At 39.1% G+C, this 22,864-nt stretch overlaps 1 protein-coding gene across 2 annotated transcripts, besides 4 other annotated features; it reads right to left on the reverse strand.

Moving 5' to 3' along the window:
• Positions 7,993 to 9,192: an enhancer, noted in NCBI's record as "BRD4-independent group 4 enhancer chr5:57741340-57742539 (GRCh37/hg19 assembly coordinates)". NCBI's record gives its function as "activates an origin of replication core promoter dependent on BRD2, P300/CBP, MED14 and CDK7 cofactors, and independent of BRD4, by STARR-seq in HCT116 cells {active_cell/tissue: HCT116}" and the evidence as "EXISTENCE:reporter gene assay evidence [ECO:0000049][PMID:35650434]".
• Positions 12,716 to 12,885: an enhancer, noted in NCBI's record as "experimental_86531 CRE fragment used in MPRA reporter constructs". NCBI's record gives its function as "activates a minimal promoter by MPRAs in K562 erythroleukemia cells, with activity observed for the introgressed 5:57746148 variant allele {active_cell/tissue: K562}" and the evidence as "EXISTENCE:reporter gene assay evidence [ECO:0000049][PMID:34662402]".
• Positions 16,462 to 22,566, reverse strand: PLK2 (polo like kinase 2). 2 transcript variants are annotated; one of them, NM_001252226.2, is made up of 15 exons: positions 22,278 to 22,566; positions 22,170 to 22,235; positions 21,465 to 21,572; positions 21,205 to 21,321; positions 20,879 to 21,008; positions 20,564 to 20,651; positions 19,968 to 20,063; positions 19,661 to 19,859; positions 19,425 to 19,572; positions 18,972 to 19,069; positions 18,506 to 18,635; positions 18,019 to 18,259; positions 17,765 to 17,894; positions 17,391 to 17,501; positions 16,462 to 17,254 (listed from the first exon to the last, which is right to left on the reverse strand). In NM_001252226.2, the coding sequence occupies exons 1-15, from the start codon at positions 22,437 to 22,439 to the stop codon at positions 17,063 to 17,065; spliced, it is 2,016 nt and encodes a 671-aa protein (NP_001239155.1). In that variant the 5' UTR covers positions 22,440 to 22,566; the 3' UTR covers positions 16,462 to 17,062. The 2 variants fall into 2 exon arrangements, with proteins under 2 accessions (NP_001239155.1, NP_006613.2); NM_006622.4 differs by having other exon boundaries at positions 22,170 to 22,566.
• Positions 18,711 to 19,910: an enhancer, noted in NCBI's record as "BRD4-independent group 4 enhancer chr5:57752058-57753257 (GRCh37/hg19 assembly coordinates)". NCBI's record gives its function as "activates an origin of replication core promoter dependent on BRD2, P300/CBP, MED14 and CDK7 cofactors, and independent of BRD4, by STARR-seq in HCT116 cells {active_cell/tissue: HCT116}" and the evidence as "EXISTENCE:reporter gene assay evidence [ECO:0000049][PMID:35650434]".
• Positions 20,562 to 20,856: a silencer, noted in NCBI's record as "tiled region #13863; K562 Repressive non-DNase unmatched - State 24:Quies". NCBI's record gives its function as "represses a minimal TATA promoter and a strong SV40 promoter by Sharpr-MPRA in K562 cells {active_cell/tissue: K562}" and the evidence as "EXISTENCE:reporter gene assay evidence [ECO:0000049][PMID:27701403]".

Raw genomic sequence — 22,864 nt, forward strand, 5'->3', positions numbered from 1 at the left:
CACAATAGCAGCCACATAGGTGCCAAGAATGGGCTAGACAGGAGCTGTTACCCAAACCTTATCATTGTTTTTTGTTTTGTTTTGTTTTGTTTTGTGTTTTGCTTTATAATTTTATGCTTCTGATATCTTTAGGGGCCTATGGATGAGAACTTTTACTGTGGCTGTTCATGACTACGACCATTTCGGGGATTCTTGATAGGAAGAAGAAAGTACAGGCATAGCCTGAAGGATTTTATTTTCAAGGCTGAAATTGTAGGCAAAGTGTGACAAGACACATTAAGGAGAATAATCACAGGATACATGCATGCGCACACACTCATGCACATGAATGGTTGTGTGTGTCTTGGAAGGCAGGCAGCTTTCTTGGCTTGGAGTCAGGAGTACCAGAGTGGCATGCTGGTCCTGATAGGGAGCTGAGACAAAGGAACCCACAAGAGAGTTTTCTGACTTCCCAGGAATAATGCCAAGGTTCAGAGTCTCCACAGGTATGGAAGTGAGGGTCTGGGATTTACTTTAGATCCACACTACCTGCCCATGTACTTCCCTTGAATGAGGCCTGGCCAAGGAAGAATGACCCTGCCCCTCTTGGCCCAGCCTTTCTTTGGCCCTAATGGAGACATGAACTTTGGATTCCTCATAGCTCTATAAAGATATCTTTACATTAGATCCCTTAATAGCAGAAGCTTCTGCCTACCTTGGCTTCACTTATGACAGCCATAAGCATTGTTAACTGTACCTCCTTTTGGTAGAACACTTGGCATTCTACAAAATATTTCAAACCTGGTATCCAATGCAATCCTCACAATACTCCTAATGTAGAGTTAGGGTGGTATTATCTTGATTTGCAGTTGAGGATACAGACCCAGGGAAGAACTTGGTTTAGGTCAAACAGCTCGTGAGTGGCAAAGCAGCTCTGGAGACTTCCAGAGACTTCCCTTGCCACAGTCCTATGCTTCCCTTCTAACTGTGGGCAAGCTTCTAAAAAATTAATATCTAAGCTGCTGGGAGGACTCATCTTTATGTTTTTTTTCCAGATGAATTAGTGGCAGTATGTCTTCTTCAAAAAATTATGGATGAAATGAACAAAGAGATAAACTCAGTTTATTCATATTCTTTGTCTCCAGGTTCTATTTACCTCTGACTCTGCAATGATGAATAAATTGTTCGCTTATCTGATGATCAATTTCTGTCTTTAAAATGGAGAGGATAATACTTGTCACCCACTACCATCACTAGAATGAAGGAACTAATGCTTCTAAAGTGTTGTGAAAGAGATGCTCTAGAAATAGAAATATGAGGCTTTTATTGAACACATTTAAATGTGCTTTTTAACTGAAATTATGGTTTTATCAAAGATTCTTGCTACACTGAACTCATCACAATTTGTATTATTATTATTACTATTTTTCCTGTTTTACTTTGAATGCCAATGCAGCAAATAGACTTTCCAATTTTATAGATCTTACCGTTTTACAGACAACTGCTGAGGGCTACAATCCCCTTATCTTATACTGTCCACCGAAGCTTTGTTTTACCTGATTTGTTCTAGCTATAGACATAAACATTGATCATTTGCTCCGCACAGGTAACAACATATTCTATAGAAACTGGCCAAGAAAATTGCATAAAATGATGAAACAGGCTTTGCTTGGACACTAAAAGCGCCACTTCGCTAAATAATCCAGCAATGGCACAACAGGCTTACTGGACAGTCTGACTGTCTTCATTAGTCAGACTGGCTGGCAGGCTTTCTGCGCAGGGGAACTAGAGAGTTTGTAAGCTCTCCAAACAGTCCCTGAGGTACAGCAGCCAGACAGCTGAGGTCTTCCTAATGAATACTTCAACAAGCCAGAGTTCGCAGGGATAAAACCATTAAGCCACAGAGACAGCTATGGCTTTTAAATTTGATGTGGTATGCTAACTCTTGAGAGGACATTTTAAGATAAGAAATGCAAACTTCCACATTGGGTTGGATTGTCCAAAGCACCTGAACAAATAAAATGTTTTCCATAAAGATGTTATTGGCTATCAAAGTTGACTTTGAAATGATACAAAAGCATTTTTCTCAAAGAATCTGAAATTCACAAATAAGAATTTTTGTGAATATTATACTTTATCAACTATATCGGGGAGGAAATTTTTTTCTAAATTTAATTAGTATCATTTAGCTTTTCCTTCTTTTGTTTTAAGGAAGACAATAAACTAATACACTGCTAAAAGTCTTCTAAGAAATAATTATATTTACTCTGCAAAGTAATTTTTAACTTTACTCTGCAAAGCACCTGTCAAAGTTCTTCACTTAGTTGTAATAAGCAGTGTCTAACACACACACACACACACACACACACACACAAAACCAGTTCATTCCTCAAACAATTTTGTTAACTTTCTTAAATACAGGAAGTTCTAGCTTAAATGATTCTTCCTCATGGCACCAGTCATATTTTGCATGCTTTGGTTAGAGATGTGTTTTTTGTGTTGTTTTGTTTTATTTTATAAAGTGAGCAACATTCTTCCATTAACCTGTCAAGAAACTGTTCTTTTGTTCATCTCATGCCCACAAAAACAAGCACACGATGTTTGGAAAACAATCTACAATAATTTCAATGGGATCAGTATGTTAGAATATAACCAAATGTTGAGATTCTCTCTAATTTATTGACCTGAAATTCCTTCAGGGTCACAAGAAACTTGCCCTACAGACATTTGGTGTGTTTTAGTATCAGACTGGTACTACAGCAATAGTGCTAGGTCAAATATCAGGATGTGTAATACTTTTTCTGAAAAGCTCATTGTGCTTCACTGAAAAAGTCACTCAAACACATAGAGAAATTAAGACACTGCCTGTGTAACTGAAATAAATGATTTTTTTTAAAAAAATCAGTTACTTTAGGCATTTCAATGCTGAACTCACTAATGGAGCAGAAGAATGAGAGCTTGAGTCTGCTTTACAGGAATCTGGGGTACTGTGATACAACCTATAGTATCTGCTATTTTTTAAAATAACAATTTTTTTTTAATTTTCAATAAATATATTGACATATCCTAAAGATACTTAAGACTATATTTTTGATTATTAATTCTTGGAAATCTTTAAATACATACAATGAAAGTCTCATTTTAAGTTATTAAAGCTCCCAGTCTTCATTTCTGTTTTTGTTTTTCTCACAAATAAAATTAAAATGTGGCTTCAAGAAATCATAATATGCCATTCTTATGTCATGAGTGCTAAGAGAAAAGCCACTTAGAATCAGGGAAGACCAAATGAATATTTTAAATTGTGATGTAGTACACTAGTGTATTATTTACATCACTAAAGCAAACCACTTGTTATATGCCTGGCATAAAGCACATTCTTACTTTTACTTCTCAAGGAACCCCATAAAATATATCAATTCAATTGCAATTCTAAATGTATTAGCAAATTGGTAATGTTACTAAGTTCAAGGAGAAATTCTTTTGAAGTATCTAGGAATCCAGAAGAACATTATTTTACAACTTCCTTTCCTAGATAAATAATTATGACGTCTTTGTGTGTTTAGTTAGCATTGGCATTTCAGCTAATATTGACCAAAGAAGCTAGTGTGGCTATATTTAAACTCTGTCAGAGTTTCACCACCACATCACAGCACATTTTAAGTATTTTATAATGAATGAGACCTATTATTGCCAGAGCACACTTCAAATTCATTCATTTTTCCTCTCAAATTGTTTTTCCAGTTATGTCTGCCAAAATTGTAGCAAATCACTTTTATTTGAAACAAAGATTTCATATTTCTATTTCAGTCCTTCCTCTCTGAAGCCAGGATGAAATAACGTTGCGATGTAATACAACAAACCATATACTTCCAAGTTGAAATGACAGGTAATTGATTATGAGTCAGTCTGCAAAAGATTGGTGATTAGAGAAACCATATCCTGCTTAAATACATTTCTTTCATTCTCATAAACCAGATGGTACCTTGTGTCACTGACTGTCATTAACAATTTTTACCACCACAGTCATAGTGGTCAACAAAGCAGATAAAGTAAAAAAATAATATAATGTGTAGTAGGATCTGAATAAATGTACATAGCCCGAATTCATTTTTCTGCTGTTGTGCTTAATAAAGCCTAAAAATAAGGTCATAAATGCTTATAGCATGAAAAAAATTTAACCTACCTTTATAGGAAAAGCAATTGAAATCAAAGGTGTGGTAACATAAGTGGGTCATGCTAAATGCATCTTAGCTACATTAAACTCACATGGGATAGCAATGAGTATTTCATGGGATAACCATATAATTCATCTTAGAAATGCATACTTTTTTTGAGATGGGATCTCTCTCTGTCCTCCAAACTGCAGTAAAATGGTGTGATCTTGGCTCACTGCAGCCTTCACCTCCTGGACTCAAGCAATCCTCTCACCTCAGGCTCCTGACACACCAGTTGCACACTCAGGTAATTTTTTTTTTTTTTTTTTTTTTTTTTTGGAGAGACAGCATCTCGCTATGTTGCCCAGGCTGGTTTTGAACTTCTAGGCTCAAGCAAACCTTCCACCTCAGCCTCCCAAAGTGCTGATATTATGCAGTAAACCACCAATCCCAGCCAAATACAAAGATTTTTAACTGACACAAGGCATGATTAAGAGTTTCCCAGGTAAACTGTGTAGTCACCATCCGTATATATGCACTGTGCCTTTGGCAGTACACAGCTGTTCAGTACTGTGAGAAAAAAAAAAAACGGACTGTTTTATCAATAGCAAGCTTAACATGTTCCAAACCATGTAGTGGATATTGAAGGATGCATCTCAGTTGAATTGAATAAAGCATAACTGTAAAGTTATGCTTTATAATTTTGTATAATAAACTGTTTAAAAATTATTCAATTAAGATTTCTTGATTTTCCTACCAAATTTTGTTTCTATGTCACTTTTGGACATAGAGGAGGAATAACTCCTTTCTTCATGCCATTAAAGTAAATCAATTGAAGCTTACTCTTCTACAACTATATTAAATTTTAACTTAAAAAATCTTGCTTTAATCACTTCTTGGCCTTTTGGCAAAGAACAAGTGTAAAAGTCTTGCTCTAATGTACTCAGTGTGATATATCCTCATGCTTTGTTTGTTAGGTTCTTCCCCAAAAGTGGTTTATGAAGAAGTCTTTATAGCTTCTACATCTGTCCTGTTCAGTGTAAAGGACTACCAACATGCTCTCTTTTAAACACAAAATGCCTTTTGCAAACCAAAGTGGACATGGACAAAAATTTATTTTAAAACATTTCAGTTCTGCCATTATAAGAAAATAGAAATTTGCAAAAGGCAACTGGAAACCACTCTTTATGATCTGGAGATGGAATATCTACATTGCAAAGTTACCTTAGCTACCTGGCCATCCAGTTGATCTCTGCACCATAAATTTCTCCCTCTAGAAGGGAGATTTTCTTGCTGAGTGAGGTTGTGGATAAAACATGTAACAGCTCTGGAACCACAATGCAATGGTTTGAATACATCCCCCAAATTTCATGGTTGGAAACCTAAAATTCATATGTTAATTAGAGGTGGGGACTTTGGGAGGTAATTAGGATTAGATAAGGTCATCAGGATGGGACCCCATGATGAAACTGATTGCTTTAAAGAAGAGGAAGAGAGACCTGAGCTTATATACATGCTCTTGCTCTCTCACCATGTGATGCCTTCCGCATCTTATGACACAGAATGAAGATTCTCACCAGATGCTAGCTCCATGCTCTTGGACTCCCCAGCCTCCAGAACTGTAAGAAATAACTTCCTTTTCTTTAAAAATTACCCAGTCTGTAATATCCCAATATAGAAATGCAAAACAGACTAAGATATATGATGTCAAAGTTGGTGCTAAATTTCCTGTTTACCTAATTATTGTCCTACTACAAGAAAGATCTGAACTTACATTCCAATCTATCTGACAGGTTCAGGATCTTTTTAAATTAAATGTATCTTATAAAGGACAATTACTTACATATATCGACAAACTATGTTCCAGGGAATATTCTTTGTGATCTTAAAAGGCACTCTAAAGCAAAATAATGTGTCAGTGTGTATAAGTTTGGAAAAACTTTTGCACTCTATTTCTCTCTTGGAGATTCATAACGCAAATTTAGGATATGGAAGTTCTAGAAAAATCTTGACTTAAAGAAATCTGTTCATTTTATTGAAGCCACCAATTCCCAAAAGAATTTGCCAGTTAATATGTTTTTCAGGAAACATTTTATAATATCAAAGATATTTGGAATTCCTGAAAATACAGTTGGGGAAATTTTTTAAAGATAGTTGAGAAGGGACAATAATAAGAAAAGGCAACATAAAAGGAGTCAAAATGTAGGAAATGTTTATATGACTTACCTTTGATTTTGTCAGTCATAAGAGAGTAAACTGGCTGGGTGTGGTGGCTCATGCCTGTAATCCCAGCACTTTGGGAGGCTGAGGCGGTTGGATCACCTGAGGTCAGGAGTTCCACGCCAGCCTAGCCAACATGGCGAAACCCTGTCTCTACTAAAAATACAAAATTTAGCTGGTTGTGGTGACATGCATCTGTAATCCCAGACACTCAGGAGGCTGAGGCACAAGAATTGCCTGGACTCAGGAGACAGAGGCTACAGTGAGCCAAGATCGTGCCACTGCACTCCAGTCTGGGTGACAGAGCGCGACTCCATCTTGAAAAAAAAAAAAGGAAAAAAGAGTAAATTGCTCTCTCTTTGGGATATTCCTCAATTTGATTCCCCCAGGAGCATGATGAAGGAAACAATTAATAATTGAAAAATTCTAATGATAAATTAAGTATAAGATATTCTCTTTATTGAATGACAACAGTATAATATGACATAAATATCAATAACTACTGACATCAATATAAAACAAAGAGGTAATATGAATAGAGAAATAATAAAGATATAATATTAAAATAATTAGAGAGGGGAGGAAGCTTACTTTCTAATTTCTCCTCTTGCTATATTTTCGAATAAGAAATGGTTTTTGTTGTAGGTCAAAATGGTCAAATACTCTCAATATTATATTGTTCTATCTAATGAATTCTAAGACACTTTTTATTATTATATTTGTTTTATAATATAAAAAATAGGATCAGTGTCATGTTCATGATTGTTCAGCAAGCAATTGACCCAGTTGCTTCAATCTTGACATATCTAATTGAAATTCCAAATGTTTTCTGCTATATGGTTTTAACTTGAGCAATTGTAGGATGATTGACTTAAAATAAGCATATGTGTGTGTACCTCTGAAGGAGAAAAAATCTGAGAGAAATATATCAGATTCTACAAAACTCAACTGTTATTCTGTTTCTTTAATATCTAGGTAGAAAGTTGTATTTGGAGGAAGATTTAATTGCTTCAACTCAGAGTATATTATTTATTTAAAACCAAAAAGCCTAGTGCTTCTCTTGTGCCTATTGTCAGTCACTGGCCCTTCCCTATGACTAATCTATATTGAGGATATTTGGAGTTTAATCCTGAGTCACTCTGTAGCAAAACTGCCAGGTATACCTACAGGATAGTGAATAGAAACATGAAAGGTTTGCCTCATTAAAGAATTCATGAGGTTAAATCCATATGTAGCAGGTGCAACTTGCTGCTATAGCTGCCCTTTTGCCACCCATATATGTTGCTTTGCCTCAGATGATTATCTTATTCTCTCTCCCCATGTGGTAAAAAGAATGAAGAGATTAGCCACATAAGCTCACATAGTCCAGGTATTTCAGAATCAGTAAAGTGAGTCTATTCACAAGCCTAACAAAGGAAATGAGGATAGATTATGGCAACTGCTAATGAAATTTATATTTCAACCAACAATACAATTAAGTGAGGGATGATCTCTTGTTCCTAGTTGACTAAACTGCAAAATTCACCTTTATCCTAAATTTCATTATGAATTTAAGAGAATGATATGAGTTGAATTTAATAACCTTATGTCGATCAGGTGAAAATTCAGGAAGAAAAGAAGCCGTCTACATCGCGGTGGATGCCTTGGCTTATGAAAACTTTGGTAGGTCTTTATTTGTCAGACTTATTCTTCCATTTCTTTTCAGTGCTACCGAAACAGGAAAAGTTCCCTCGTCACCCTTGCAGGGTGTGCGGTGGGGGTGTGTCCTGCTTCTTTGGTCAAATCTCTAGGGGGAACATGCAGACAGGCTCTGGGGCTCTGAACTCACAGCAGCATCTAGGGGTGAATGTTTACAGCACCGGAAGCTCCCGCAGGCATGTGTTACCATGTGCTCTTTTAGTTTTGCCATCTGTAGGTGGCTTGTGTTTAGCAGCTCAATCAGACCCCCTGACTTATGGCAATGTGTCCGGAATTTATTCCTTCCAGTGGGTTCTTGGTCTCGCTGACTTCAAGAATGAAGCTGTGGACCTTCACGGTGAGTGTTACAGCTCTTAAAGATGGTGTGTCCGGAGTTTGTTCCTTCAGATGTGTTCAGAGTTTCTTCCTCCAGCTGGATTTGTGGATTTGCTGATCTCAGGAATGAAGCCGCAGATCCTCGCCATGAGTGTTACAGCTCATAAAGGTAGTGCAGACCTAAAGACTGAGCAGCAGCAAGATTTACTGTGAAGAGGGAAAGAACAAAGCTTCCACAGCGTGGAATGGGACGCGAGCAGGTTGCCGCTGCTGGCTCAGGTGGCCAACTTTTATGCCTTTATTTGGCCCCGCCCACTTCCTGCTGATTGGTCCATTTTACAGAGGGCTGATTGGTGCGTTTTTACAGAGCACTGATTGGTGCATTTACAATCATTTAGCTAGACACAGAGCGCTGATTGGTGCGTTTTTACAGAGTGCTGACTGGTGCATTTACAATACTTTAGCTAGACTCAGAGCTCTGATTGGTGCATTTACAATCCTCTAGCTACACAGGAAAGTTCTCCAAGTCCCCACCCGACCCAGGAAGTCCAGCTGGCTTCACCTCTCAGCAAGGACAGAGGGCTTTCTGTATCCTGGGGTTTCTTGCCTTGGTGTACCAAAAGAGTCAAATCACACATGGGCTTGGAGAAAGAGTGCAAGGGTTGAGTGGAAGTAGCTCTCAGCAGATGGGGGAGCCAGAAGGGAGATGGAGTAGGAAGGTGGTCATCCCCTGGAGTCGGGCCATTCAGTGGCCCTCCTCTGACCACCCGGCCAAACTCCTCATCGTTCTGCGGATGGATGGCCTGCAAGCCTCTGCTGGTGCCTGTTGATGTGATCTTCCGGGTGCGTTCCTCTCAATATCCAGCTGCTTGTGTCTTCTTCCGCCCGTGTGTTTCTCTCCACATCCAGGTGCTTGTGTGTGTACCCTCTAGGGTCTCGGGGTTTTTATAGGCACAGGATAGGGGTGTGGTGGGCTAGGGTGGTCTTGAGAAATGTGACATTTGGGCAGGAAAACAGAAATGTCTGTCCTCTCCTCAGTCCGTGGGCACAGGCCTAGATATGGAGCCCTAGCCAAAAGAGTCAAATCACACATGGGCCAGGGACCTGCCTTTCTCTATCCAGTACTTCCGTGCCCCAAGCCCGATTTAGTACCTGACCTTTAACTCCACTTAAACCAATAATGCTTAAAAATGGCAGAAGGTAGCTTTGGATGAAGCCCACACTTTCCCTAAAATCACCCAAAGTACACTTTCTGGAATTAAAATCAGCGTTTGTAAACAACTTGGAAATAGACAGGCCCCCTGAAAGTTTCACCTGACTCTGCACTAGGCTCACATTCAAACGTCTGAGGCACCAGCTGAGTGAATCAGGCAAGCAAGGTCCATGGAGAGGGCTGTCTCTTCTCTGGGGGCAGGCACTTCTCAGCTCCAGCTGATTGTTGATATGTAGAAATGTCTGATCATATTGTCTGATCATGAAGTTTTGCAAAGGAAGTCAGAAGTTTTAATTTTCATCTGAATGCTCCCAATGACTAACTGATGACAATTGCTGGAAAATATTTTAAAACCCACTCTAAAACTCGCTGTACTTCAAGCAGATGTCTATTCTCTGGCAATATACAATCTCAGCTCTAAAGGTTTGCCTTATTCTCTACATGGATTCCATCTTTGCCTTTCATTTCTACTCATGTCATGTTCTCAAAAGAATATTACTGGAATAAAATTACATGCTTGTATCAGAAAATTGTATTGACATTCATCTACAAACACAAATTCCCAGGAAAACAGATTGCAAATGAGGTTTTGTGGTTTTGGTTTTTTTTTTTTTTGAGATTGACTTTTATGCTCAGAAGTGGATTTGGTTTTAAAAATCTGACATTCAGTATACTTAAACATCTAGTTCTTCTTTGCATTTTTAAGTTTAATTTTAAAAATTTACATTCTGTTTTTATATCTCAACAAAAGACTTTAAGAGGACTGTATTATAGGATCCCAGTTAAAACTTAATAACTTTCCCTTTACTATTTTATATTGCATTTATAATATACTTGACTTCCTTTTTAAATACTGTTTTGCAATTGTCTGCTATAACAAGTATTCTTAAGTATATAAACATTCTTATAAATTGAGTAAATTAAGCTTAAAAGATGATAAATTTATCATATATTATAATACCAAATTTAAATGTCACAAGCCTTCAGCTTAAATTTCTAAGGCAATATCAGTTACTTAAATTTCAGTTTTTAATTGGGATTATAATACTAATACATTACTATATGTGAAGTATTAACACACAGTTTCAATGTTAGGGTTAAATATAGAGATTCTTTCTGTAACAACAATTATCAATTCAATCATTCAGATTATCTTAAATACTTAACTAAGTCTTCTTAAGATGAAATGGTACTTCGCTAAAGAAGCTATTATGCTATCTAAATTAAACTTTTTGTTTGTAACCTAGGCTGGCTGAGATTTTATATACACAACCACAGCTGTAGACCGGGATATTTACTGCAGTGCCGTCTGAGATGTTAAAAGAATATACCAAGCCCTATTAATTATTCAGAATATAGGAGTGATGTCCTTCTTCTCAGAGCACATATAGTTCACATCCCCAGGCTTAAATTATTATTATTGCTATGTTGGAGCTGGTTTTAAAAGTTTCGTGAGGAGTGATTGTTAAAATTTCAGGAATTGTGCAAGCCAGTTGTTAACACAACCATTATGTAATTATAGAAACTTACAATTAAATAAATTATGTTAAAAACAAAGGCAATAAATACTCTAAACTCATCACTAATTGTTTCCTTACATTTTATTATTATCTATTTCTTGAGGTTATTTATGTCTGTTACATCCATATGCTGGAAATACTTTATAATGATGTACTGCTGTGCATCTCTTTCCAACTCCACATTCAGCGACATCACTCTGGTAGTGAGAAGTCCATCATGGTAAAAGAAATTATACCACAGAAATTGGCAAATGAAACAAATCAAGGTTCTGGCCACCTCTGAAAAAGCTGACTGCTAAACATTTATTAGTATATCAGTAGTTATGTTATTATCTAATTCTTTGTCTGCACTCCCCTCCAGAATACCCTATCACGTTTGGATTTTGCATTTCTTTATCTCTTGAAATATTTAAAGATCTTCTATGTAGCTCCAAAGTTCTTCAAAATTCATATAGTTCTGTACTTATCATATTTTTTCTATTTAGTAGGATCACATAAATCACATAATAAATTTATGTCTCATTGAAACTCTTTTGACATGTCTATATGATCATAAGTTTAAAGGTCATCCTGCTGCCACTGATTTCAAAGGGGTATAAAAGAAAGACAATTTTAGTTATTTCACTGAGGCCTGTTGCTTATTTATTGTCTGTTTGTTTATAGAAACAGGGTCTTGCCCTATCGCTCAGGTTGTAGTGCAGTGGTGTGATCATGGCTCACTGCAGCCTTAACCTCCTGAGCACAAACAATCCTCCCACCTCAGACTCTCAAGTAGCTGGGACTATAGGCATGGACCACCATGTCCAGCTAATTCTTAAATTTTATGTAGAGATGGGATCTCACTGTGTTGCCCAAGCTGGTCTTGAACTCCTGGTCTCAAGTGATCCTCCTGCCTCCCAAAGTGCTGAGATTACAAGCATGAGCCACCGCCCCTGGCCTAGGTCTGTTGTCTGATTTCTTACAGTACTAATTTTTTTATAGGCTTGGAACAGAGAATGTGTTCCAACTTGCATGGCTGGGCTAAAATATCTAATCATTTAGTATTTCATAGCAGAGATAGATCAGGAGTTTGTTAATTTAACTCAACTTAGAAGTGAAGTTTTTGTACTGCAATCATTAAAATCAATTTTGTTTTACATATAAACATATTATCAGGCTAATCCTAGAGCAAAATCTATTTATTCTATTCAGTTGAATTCCAGACATTGATGAACCATGATATTATTTTCTAACACTGCATATGGAAATTTACCGTTTTAATTTGAGTTCACTAATATAATTAAATTGTGGCAATTCAAACAAAGAGATGCCTTCCATTAGTAAAGTTAATAAGACATAACGAAGGGCTAGAACAAAGCATGAATCTAAACATATAGACCAGAGTCTCTCCCAAGTCAGGAAAAACAAAGTGGAATCTACAGGTTTCTTTTTATACAACAGTTTGTTACAAGGTTTAGAAATATACTGATTCTCTCATGCATTGAATAGCCATAAAATACCAACACTGGTTTTTCTGTGTACCTTATGGAGATGCAGCTATGCATTTTTAGTCACACCTATTTTCAGTAGATTAAAATCTCTACAAGGCAAAAATGGTCTGAAGATGTTACGAATCACAGAGGCCTAAAGCAGGAATGACTCCATTCTTCATGCCCACCCACGCAATTTTGTTCCTTCTCCAACCTTCTACTGCCTATCATCTTGCTGCCTAGCTAACTATAGCTCTTAGCAATTATGTCACTTTGGTATTTAAGAGAAGGAGAAGGTAGAAATGGTAGAAAATTCGTGGAAGAGAAAAACTAAGAAAGAAAGGTAGGCAGTTAATATGCTGGTTAAGGCTCAGATTCATTCTCTGCCCTTCTTCTGCTTTATTTTGCAATATTACAATGACCCTAACAACTGTATTTCCAAGGCTATTTTTTTCGACTGCCTTTCAGCTCATTTGGTCAATGGGAGATTGGAGGCCAAGAGGAAGAAAGAATTCAAAATATTTTGTCCCCCTTTTTTCTCACCCAAAAAGGCACAGGGGTCATCTCAAGCAGTGATGACATTTGTCCCATGATCTCAAAATCCTGGTAAGCAGTGACCATCATGATTCTAGTTTCTGCCAGAAGACTCAGTTCTGGGCTCTGGTAACATGACGTTTTCTCTGGGTCTCTCTAGCCATTGGGAGAGTAGTGCCTTCCTGCTGCAGTGAATCTCTGGGTTGCCTCACCACCGAGTTCTTCCATCATCTGTATAACCAACAATCTCCATTAGATTCCTTCTCTCTGAAAGTCCCAAAATGATCCCAACTGGATCACGACTTACACAGAACTGAAGACTCGATCACAACTTACACAGAACTGAAAGTGGGAGAAACAAGAATGAGACAGTTTTTTTTTTTCTAGATAATTACGGTCCCTGCCATTACAGATGTGGAAAGAGGCAGAAAAAAAAACAGAACAAGAACAGGAAGAAATACTTATTGAGTACCTTTGTTGTGCAAGTGTTTTATTATCGTTTTATCTTCACAGATGAGAAAACAGAAGCTTAGAGAGATTAGGTATTTACTAATGATCGCATTATTAACATGTGGTTGCACAGAAATTTGGACTCAAGATTTGACTCCAAAGCTTTTCCACTGGAGTATGATTTCCCTAGCTGACATGAGATTACATTCAGAAATAGTTCTTGAAGGCTTGATGGGACTAAGAGATAAAAGTCGTAAATGTTAAATAACCTAAGATCAAGTTCACTGTCATGGCCACACCAAGTTTAGTTGAGGGTATCTGTTATTTTATTTTTTAAGAAACAGGGTCTCCCTCTGTCACCCAGACTAGAGTGCAGTGGCATGGTCATAGCTTATTGCAACCTCAAACATCTGGGCTCAAGCGACACTCCTGCCTCAGCCTCCCCCATAGCCGAGACATGCAACAAAACTATTAAATCTTTAGAATTTGTGAGGGCTAATGGAGAAACGTTCCTGGGGATCAAAGGTGTTCATTAAAGAAATCTATTATTTTACAGTTGTTTTTTGTGGAATTCAGGGTACCCTTATTTGGAAGGGTAATTTATTTGGGAATTTTTTATTCTCCTTCTCCCATGGCAAAGATTTATCAACACTGTTATGTTTTATGGAGATGTCCTCTGTACTCCTCCCCCAGAAATGCAGTTGGGTAGAAGGGGTGACAGAAATCCATCCTTATGTGTTCTCATCCACTCCCATGATGTTTTCCAAAACTTAGTTACTTCCAAATGTTGCTTTCTCTTGAGATGTAGACCTGCATATCCACTGTTTACTGGACCTATGTGGGCATCCTCATACAAATCTGATTAGATATGTCTAAAACTCACTATATTTTTCCATCAAGCTCTTCCTTCCATATTCCTAATTTACTATAGTTAATGGCCCAAGAATGCAACCCGTCCCCCACTGACTGCCTCAGCCAATCCTTCTGCACCTCATCTACTTTCTTAGGCACCACATTCAACCGGGCTCTAGATCCTGTTAAAATCAACTTTCTAAGTTCCTCCAAAATCAATCTTCATTTACTCATTCGATAGTTGACTGTCCAGTACCAGATCTGGTGCTCAGTACTGGGAACGTTGAAATGAATCAGGAGGGCCAAATGAGGTACTGCCTAGCTCTTCTTTTGCTCCTTTTCATTGTCTCAGGTCCCTTCTCACCTGAGTCACAGCATTAATTTCTTTACTGTTTGGGCCGTTTCCATCTTGTTCCCCACCCCGTCTCCTCTTCTCCCAGAATAAATTTTAGGAATCTGAAGTACTATGTCACTTTCCTCCTTGAAATTTCTCAGTAGTTTGGCATAGCCTTCAAAATGCAGCCTAAAAGCCATGGGTTGCACCATTCATGTCTTCCAGCCTTTTCCTATAATACTTCAGATTGCACACCCACTTCTGTGAACTCTTTCATCCCCCGGGCTTCTATACGTGCTATTCCCACTGCTTATAACACTCTTCCCTATCGCATATTTCTATTTAACCCCCACTCATCTTTCAAACACAGTAAAAACAAATTTCTTTTCTGGAATCTATTCACTGAGCCCAGCCCATGCCTGGGGCTTCTTCCTCATGATTCCTGCTGAGTTCCCACAACACCCAGTACATACCTTTATCGTAAAATCACACCACTTGTCACACTAATAGGTAAATGCACTGTCTCCTCCACTCCATTGTGACTTCCTTGAGGGCAGGGGGGCCTCGGGTTCACTCTGTGTCTCCAATGCCAGGCCCTGGATGTGGCACACAGCAGATGCTGAGTACATATAAGAATGGGTAAGTGTGTATTTTGAAATCATGAGGTAGTATACAATCTTCCACTGTGAAACTCAAAAGGAAGGAACATTTTCTGTTTGGAAACTATTGTTTCTTCTCTGCTTATAAAAATACAACTGAATTTGTATACATGGCCAGAGAACTCCAGCCAGCAGGAGTTAATCTAGGAGTTGTGAAATACTCATAACATATTCCCTGGATTTGGCTTTTATTAATACAATATACCAAGTGGAGTTTTAACAATTTTAGAAAAATGTAAAAGTGCAACTAGCATCTCTATACTATGCTGTACAGGACCACAATGTAAACACAGCCTTAACAAACCAAAGCACTTCTTTTCATAGGACAGTATTTTCCTTATAGTGGGATTACAATTGAACAAAAAATATTTACATCTTATGCAGATGCCTGTAAGTTCAGAGTAACAGGATGAGCAGCTTTCCTTTACTACACCTGTCAAAGAGTAGATCCCACTGAAAAAGAAAACCTCAAATTTACCTCTTAATTTAATAGATTAAAAGATGGACCCCAAACCACAACTTGGTTCCCATACCACTCCTCAACTACCATGCACCAGAAGGAAAATAAAATGACTTATTCACAAAGTATTTCTCACTACTGGAATTATGTGCTAGTACTGCCAGTGGCACTGGAAGTGTTTAGGCAGGTTTATGCTGAGTAATATGTTTAGGTGGTGCATGTATTCTAATTCAGAGTTTTGCCCATATTAAGATAAACTTCCTGTACCTATTGACACTGAATAACAGAGATCTATTTAATCTGGCTTCACCTCCAAGCTAAACAAGTTTTGAAGAAATACTACAGAGAGAAATTGGGTTTGGATTTTGTAGGAGGCTTATATTTTGGTTGTAAGAAGAATGGTGTTCTTAAGCTAGATCTACTCTGAAAGTTTATGATTGTACTTCAGGTATTAGACTTCCTAGAAACTGTAGTTAGAAAAAATTAAAGATCTAACTCTCTAGTATGCTTCTATACTCAGTGGCTTCTTGGCACTGCTTGGCACGATCTTATCAAAAAATGTAACGATGTGGTGAAGAGTTCTACTAAAGACAGGAGACCATTATTTCTGCGTTTTCATACTCTTTATTGCCAACGGTTTAAAATGGTCAACATAAAAAAAAAGACATTTTGATAATAAATACTGCTCTTTGGGCTGTAATAAATAAAAAGTTTATTAACAAGGAATGCACTTTTCCAGCCACAAGTATCTTCAAAAATTAATGAAAAAAAATTATATATGGCCATAGTTCACAGTTACGCAGCCAAAAGCTGCTCCAATTACAGCCTTTAAACAACATGGGAGCTTCCTCCCTTCTCCCTCCCCTTCAGGAAGTATATTCACAGTTCCAAAGTCCTCTGGCTGAAATGCTCTCAACAGAGAGAATTTAAGAATCAATGCACCTTTCTGCAAAATTGTCTGAAAAACCTTTTAAAACAGGTATCTCAAGGAAAACTGCATTCTGGTTCACTCTTGGATTGTCCAAAGTCAAGAACTGTATGCCTTAGCCTGTTCTGGTTCCAACCAGTCCAGCAGGCCACAGGGGAATTGTTTTCGTACCACCACATGTCCATCTTCTTCAACATACTCTAGATCATTCTTTTGGCTTCCCTGTAGATCTCACAGTGGAAAAGAGGAGTCCCATAGGGTCCATTCGAAAAGTCTTTCAGTTACATCTTTGTAAGAGCATGTTCAGGGCATATTCCATTCGATTTTTTAATTCTGATGAACAGCCAGACATCAGCAGAGTTGTCAGCCTGAAAGTTGTAGATATCCTATCCTCATTGATGTAGGTGAGAAGGTATTCTTCATTTTGGCTACAGATGATGATTTTTGTATGATCATGGTAGAAATTCACCTTAAAAAATAAACATAGACATTAGATCTCTCAAAATATTCGAGAATTAGAAAAGTTCAGTCAATCACTAAACTGTCTAGGTACAAATCTTTCTGTTTAGGACCTAAACGTGCACTTTCCTGAAGAGTTCATTTACCTGAAAGGTGCCATCATTAAAGAGCATCATTAGGGCCTTATCAGATTTTAGCCACTGAAGGAGGTAGAGCCGAGGTCTTCGAATATCAGTAACACTAGGCAGATCTCCACCCTGGAAGAGATTAGGAGAGTGAGTTAGTGCCTACAAAGATTTTGTAGCATGCACTCTATTATTATTCTAAGAAAATCCTCTCAAACTTAAGCAAGCATCAGAATGGCTTTGGAAATCCCTGCCTCCACCTCCCGGAGATTCTGATTCAGTACACCAACGGTAGGTCAGGAGAATCTGTTTCTAACAAGCTTCAAAGTGATGCAGACACTACTGCTTTGTGGCCTACACTTCAAATGTCACCACTCTAAAGCCACAGTACTTACATCCATGAGGTTCTCCTCCATGTAATGAGAAAAGTATTTCAGCACCGTCACTTGACTAATAAATTGCTCAGGAGCATCTGTTGCTGGGAAAACTGAGCATTGGCCAAGCTCTGCGTAATAGTGAACTGTTCTATAAAAACAGGAACGAAAGGGAGAGAAGAGGAAAAAAAAATAGAAGCAGTTAATCATTGTTTTTAGATTTCTTTAGTGCAAGACTAGAGAACTGACAGGATTTCATTAATTGATACACTTACTTTTTGTCTGGAAGGAGGCTCATGTGAGCACCATTGTTGAAAAGGACACCGACGGTGTGGTCTGAGAGCTGGTACCCAAAGCCATATTTGTTAGAGTAATCAACCCATTTGGTGACCCACTGAAATGATGTGCTCAGCTGCTCTTTGGGAATGCAATCAGCTTCCGGCATGTTTTCCAGACATCCCCGAAGAACCCTTGCCACTGTGTCTGCAACACTTCCCATGGTACTGTCTTCAAGGCCTGAAAAGTCAGACAGAAATGTTTCAAGTTATACAATATTTTAGCAATAAAACCTCAGGCTTTGGTAGATGCTAAGTTTCACTCCATTAATTCGAAAGACATAGAACTCAAGATTATTTTCCAATTCCTGTAATCTTACTACTTCTATGTTAAATTAAGCTACAAAGTAAATTGACTTAAATTATTATGTATTTAGCACTGGCATTTCGAGTTTCATTATTTAAAATACGATTGACAACCACTTACATTCACTGCTGCTGCTACAGCTGCCAAGAGTCCCTCTGACTATCATCCGAATAGCATCCCCAATCTGCTGCTTGTTTTCTACTGCGGGTGTTCCAGACCTGGCAACTGTGGTGGTAGGTGGCTGGAGCTCCTTAGAAGAGAGAAGATTTATGCAATGAGTCAAGCATCTAAATTCATTTAAGGGTGAGAATTCCAGATTAAGATGAGAGTGAGGCAATTGCTGGGAAAGCTCATCAAAAAGCAATGGACACAAGCCAGATAAAAGATAACGCAGTAAACTCACTTGCATGCACTGTAAAACTAAAAGACTTCCTTTTAGTTTTAACTTCCCTTTCAAAGGGTTTGAAGAAAAACTTTAAGTAAATATGACATATTTGAACCATGATAATCATAGTCCAAGTGCTAATTAATAAAGAGTGGAAATAACGTAAAGCGTGAGTATCTACTTTACTCTTTCCCAACACACCTCATCTGTCCTGTGTTTGCTGGGTTGCTGAGTTATTGAAGTCTTTTTCAAATCATGCCTAAGCTTGTAGATGTCTTCATCTTCTTTAGACACTCTATCTGTATATCAAGAAACAGAATTACAAACATTAGTCTATCTTAACAAGGTAGGAACAGGGTTAGTCATATTTTCTCCTTCTTGCATTATTGACCAACTTATGAGCATCCTGGGCAAAAATAGCATTTTACCTTTGCCTTTAGCTGCAGCTACCCCCAAAAGCCCTCTTTAGTGTTTGCAAAATAAAAAGCTATCAATCACAATTCAAGGTATGGATTTATTATGCTATAAATATCAACATTTAAGAATACGCAAATATGGCCAAGTTATGCTAATATAAAATTCTCTTTTAACTAATTTACCAAATTTAAATATAATATTGGGTACGAAAAAGGAAAAGAAGTCTTGTTAACTTACTATGTGTGTCAATATATCTTGCTTTGTCTTTTTTGCCACCAAAAAGAGCAGCAGCTGCTTTCTTAAAGAAATTCTTAGCTGGGCTTGATAAGTGGAAATCTGGAACTGTATGACAACAGCTAGAAGACAGTCTGTCCGGAGTGAAGCCCTGTGGAATATTAGAAAAAGCCTTCAGTAACCTGTCAGGTAACTGGGATCAATACCAGGTAATTAAAAAAAAAAGATAGTGCACCAACCTGCAAAAAAAAGTCATGTCGAATGATGTCATCCAAACTGGGACGATCCTCTGGGTTTTTGGACAACATACTAGCAATTAAGTGCTTGGCAGGAGCCAGCAATGAGGACGGCATTGTATACCTTGCTTCCCTTATGCACCTATAAGTTTCTTTGAGATTTGTAGTTTCAAATGGGGGCCTCCCTAGTAACATTGTATACCTGTGTGCAAAGAAACACATCTTTAGCAATGGTCATAAAGCAACTCTTTTCAAGTGTTAAAATCTAAATCCGAATTTGCTTTTTAATTATTCTGCTGCATTTACTTACATTACACAGCCCAGGGCCCAAATGTCTGATTCACAGCCATGTCCTTGTTTGTTGAGGACTTCAGGAGAGAGATAATTTGGGGTACCACATATCGTTCTGGAAAGACAAAATATTGAGATCGTGTTAGGAACTATTCCACTACTTAAACTTGGTTCTCTTGACATGACTTGATGGGAGACAAAATCTTAAACAAAATCTTAAAATCTATACTGAATTTCTATTTGGAAACATTTGACTTTTGGCATCTGAAAATTCAATTGAGATCTGACCAAATGAGTTTTGGTAATTTTTAAAAATGCACACACGTTGTTTTAGCCCACATGCAAAGTGTTGTTAACCAACTAAAGCCAGGGACGTCGTGGCATTTTATACATTTTAAGCCAAGAAAAGACTTCATTGACTGCTTTCATAATCAATTTAGAGGCACAGGGTGCTCTGTCTAGTCCATAGTGGGCATTTAATAAGTATTTCTTTAAATTAACATTGCTATGATTTATAGATTTTATTACCGGACCTCTGAAACATTAAATGCAAAATAATGAAGGCATATTTGGTCTCCACAAAAGTCTACTAGGATGCATCTTTCTGACTCTTACCTCCTTCTGTGTTCCAAGGGTTCTAGCCTGGCTGCCAGACCGAAGTCCCCAACTTTTAGTTCCATGGCTTCATTAATAAAAAAGTTCCCTAGACGATAAACAAAACAAAATGTGAATCCCTTTGAAAATGCGTTCTAACCAAGTACACACACATCCACTTTGGAGCCAGGCAGCCAATTGTTATATGAAAGTCGCCCATTCAAAAGCAAGATTGCAGACACGAGATCCCAATTAAGAACATTAATATGTAAAAAAAAACAGAGAGAGAAAAAAGAACTCTAACACAAAACTCAGCTTTTGGCGTCAATGACTTACCTAGTTTGAGATCTCTGTGCAAGATTTCTTGTTCATGAAGGTATTTCAGTCCAGACACAATCTGCCTGAGGTAGTATCGAACTTCTGGCTCTGTCAACACCTTTCTTGCTTTCAAAATATGAGCCATTGACTAAGAAGAGGAGAAGGAAAAAAGAGAATCTGTCAAAACAGTTATCAAAATCACTGGTTTCCCTTTGCAGGATGAGCAATGAAAGTTAACTTTGCAGTGTAAGTGCTGCCACAGCTAAAATCCCAGATAAAATACTCTTTGAATACCATGTTAATTCGGGGTAAGCAAATGTTCTCAAATAGGAGTTGACACTTACCCTTCTACTGCAGTATTCCAAGAGAATGTAAATGTTTTCTTTGTCCTCGAAGTAGTGGTAAAACTGCACTACATGCTTATGATGAAGAATTCTGTGAAGCTCTATTTCTTTGTCAATCTAAATGAAAAAGCAAGGTAAGGCTTATTAGCTTCCAGTCACCTCGGAAAAGCCAGTGATTACACATGCAGAAGACATTTTCCTAACAGGGAAGGGCCATCCTTGCACACAAAGAAAATACTTTACTCAAGAGTCATACGCACCTTTTCCCTTTGATGAGGTTTAGCTACTCTGCTGTGAGGAATAATTTTTGCGGCGTAGACTTTGTTATTTGTCAAATCTGTCATCTCGTAACATTTTGCAAAGCCACCCTGAAAGGAAACAAAGCCGAGACGGAATTGAGGATGGCACAAAAATGGACGGCAGATATTTTAAATAAATAAATAAATGGGAAGAAAGAAAAGCAAAAAAAAAAAAATTGAGGAATGGAGGAGGGTGGACAGAGGGAGGCATTCGACTTCGTTAAAGCTCCCTCATGAAGAGAAATGCATTGCTGGAAACAGCAAGTTCAAACAGTTTCTCTTCTTCTTTTATAAAGGGGAGCTTTATGGAGGGAGTTGGAACGGGGAGACATGAAAAATAATCTCTGATGAGACTTGTCAGGAAAATTCCCTGGGAGCAGATAGAGGGAGAGAGGTCTGATGTAGAAAGCCCTCGCTTCCAGACTCAAGATGCATTTCTCTGGGCTGCGGGAGACACACAGTTCTGAGGCTAAGAATGCAAAGCCGATCCCCAGCGCTGCCGGCGCACAAAAGCCAGAGGGCAGGTGAGGAGCCCACCTCGCGCTGGGATCGGACCCCCGAAAAACCCGGAAGCGGCGGGCGAGGGACCCCGCGGGCTTGCCCGGCTTGGGGTCGCCCGGACAGACCTCCCGCCCGCCCGGCAGCCCGGCGCCCTCCGCTTGTCACCTTTCCCAGCACTTTGCCCCGGCAGTAGCGCTTCCCAGTCGTGGGGTCGACGATAATCCGCGAGATCTCCGGCCCCGAGTGCGAATGGTGGTGATGGTGGTGAGGGGCCGCCGGGGGCACTTGCGCCTGGGACTGAGGTGGCTGCGATTCCTCGGGGGGCTGCGGCGGCCGCTTCTTCTTCGAGTCCGCTCCGCAACCCTTGCCCAGCGCCTGCTCGCACATTTTGGTGCTGGCGGCTGGCTGGTAGGTGATAGTCCGCAAAAGCTCCATGGTCGCCTTGCCGCCCCGCACTGCCCGCTGCCACCCCCTAGGCGCGGTCACACGTCCGAGCCGGCCGTGGTCCTCGCACCCTTGCCTCTGGTGCCGACTAGCACCCAACACCCCGGTCCACTTGTGCGAGTGAGAGCGCTCGGCGAAGTCTTATATACGGGGAGGCGGGAAGGGGGCGGAGACTCGATACGCGACATCACGTCACGGCCTATGCCCCGCCCCACGGCCGGCCGAGCGCGCGTGGCCGGGAAGCAAGTCTTGTCCCGCCACCCGGGTCTCGCTTCCCAGCGGAGCCGCGCGCCTCAAACGCCGGCCGCCGAGATCTCTTGCGGCCGCGGGAAGGCCTTCAGAGCCGTCCGTGGGCCCCGCTGTCCCGTTCTTCGAAGGCTCCGAGCCTCAGCGTACAAAACAGAATCGCGAGGGCC

This window comes from Homo sapiens, chromosome 5 (assembly GCF_000001405.40).
Source record: "Homo sapiens chromosome 5, GRCh38.p14 Primary Assembly".
Lineage (NCBI taxonomy): Eukaryota > Metazoa > Chordata > Mammalia > Primates > Hominidae > Homo > Homo sapiens.

Excerpts from the sequence above, each read along its gene's own strand:
- PLK2 (NM_006622.4), bottom strand. The coding sequence starts at position 22,439 with ATGGAGCTTTTGCGGACTATCACCTACCAGCCAGCCGCCAGCACCAAA. Across the intron at positions 18,636-18,971 it reads GCAAACACAGGACAGATGAG|GAGCTCCAGCCACCTACCAC; the intron begins GTGTGTTGGGAA and ends CTCTCTTCTAAG. Across the intron at positions 17,502-17,764 it reads TGGAGGAGAACCTCATGGAT|GGTGGAGATCTGCCTAGTGT; the intron begins GTAAGTACTGTG and ends AATCTCTTCCAG.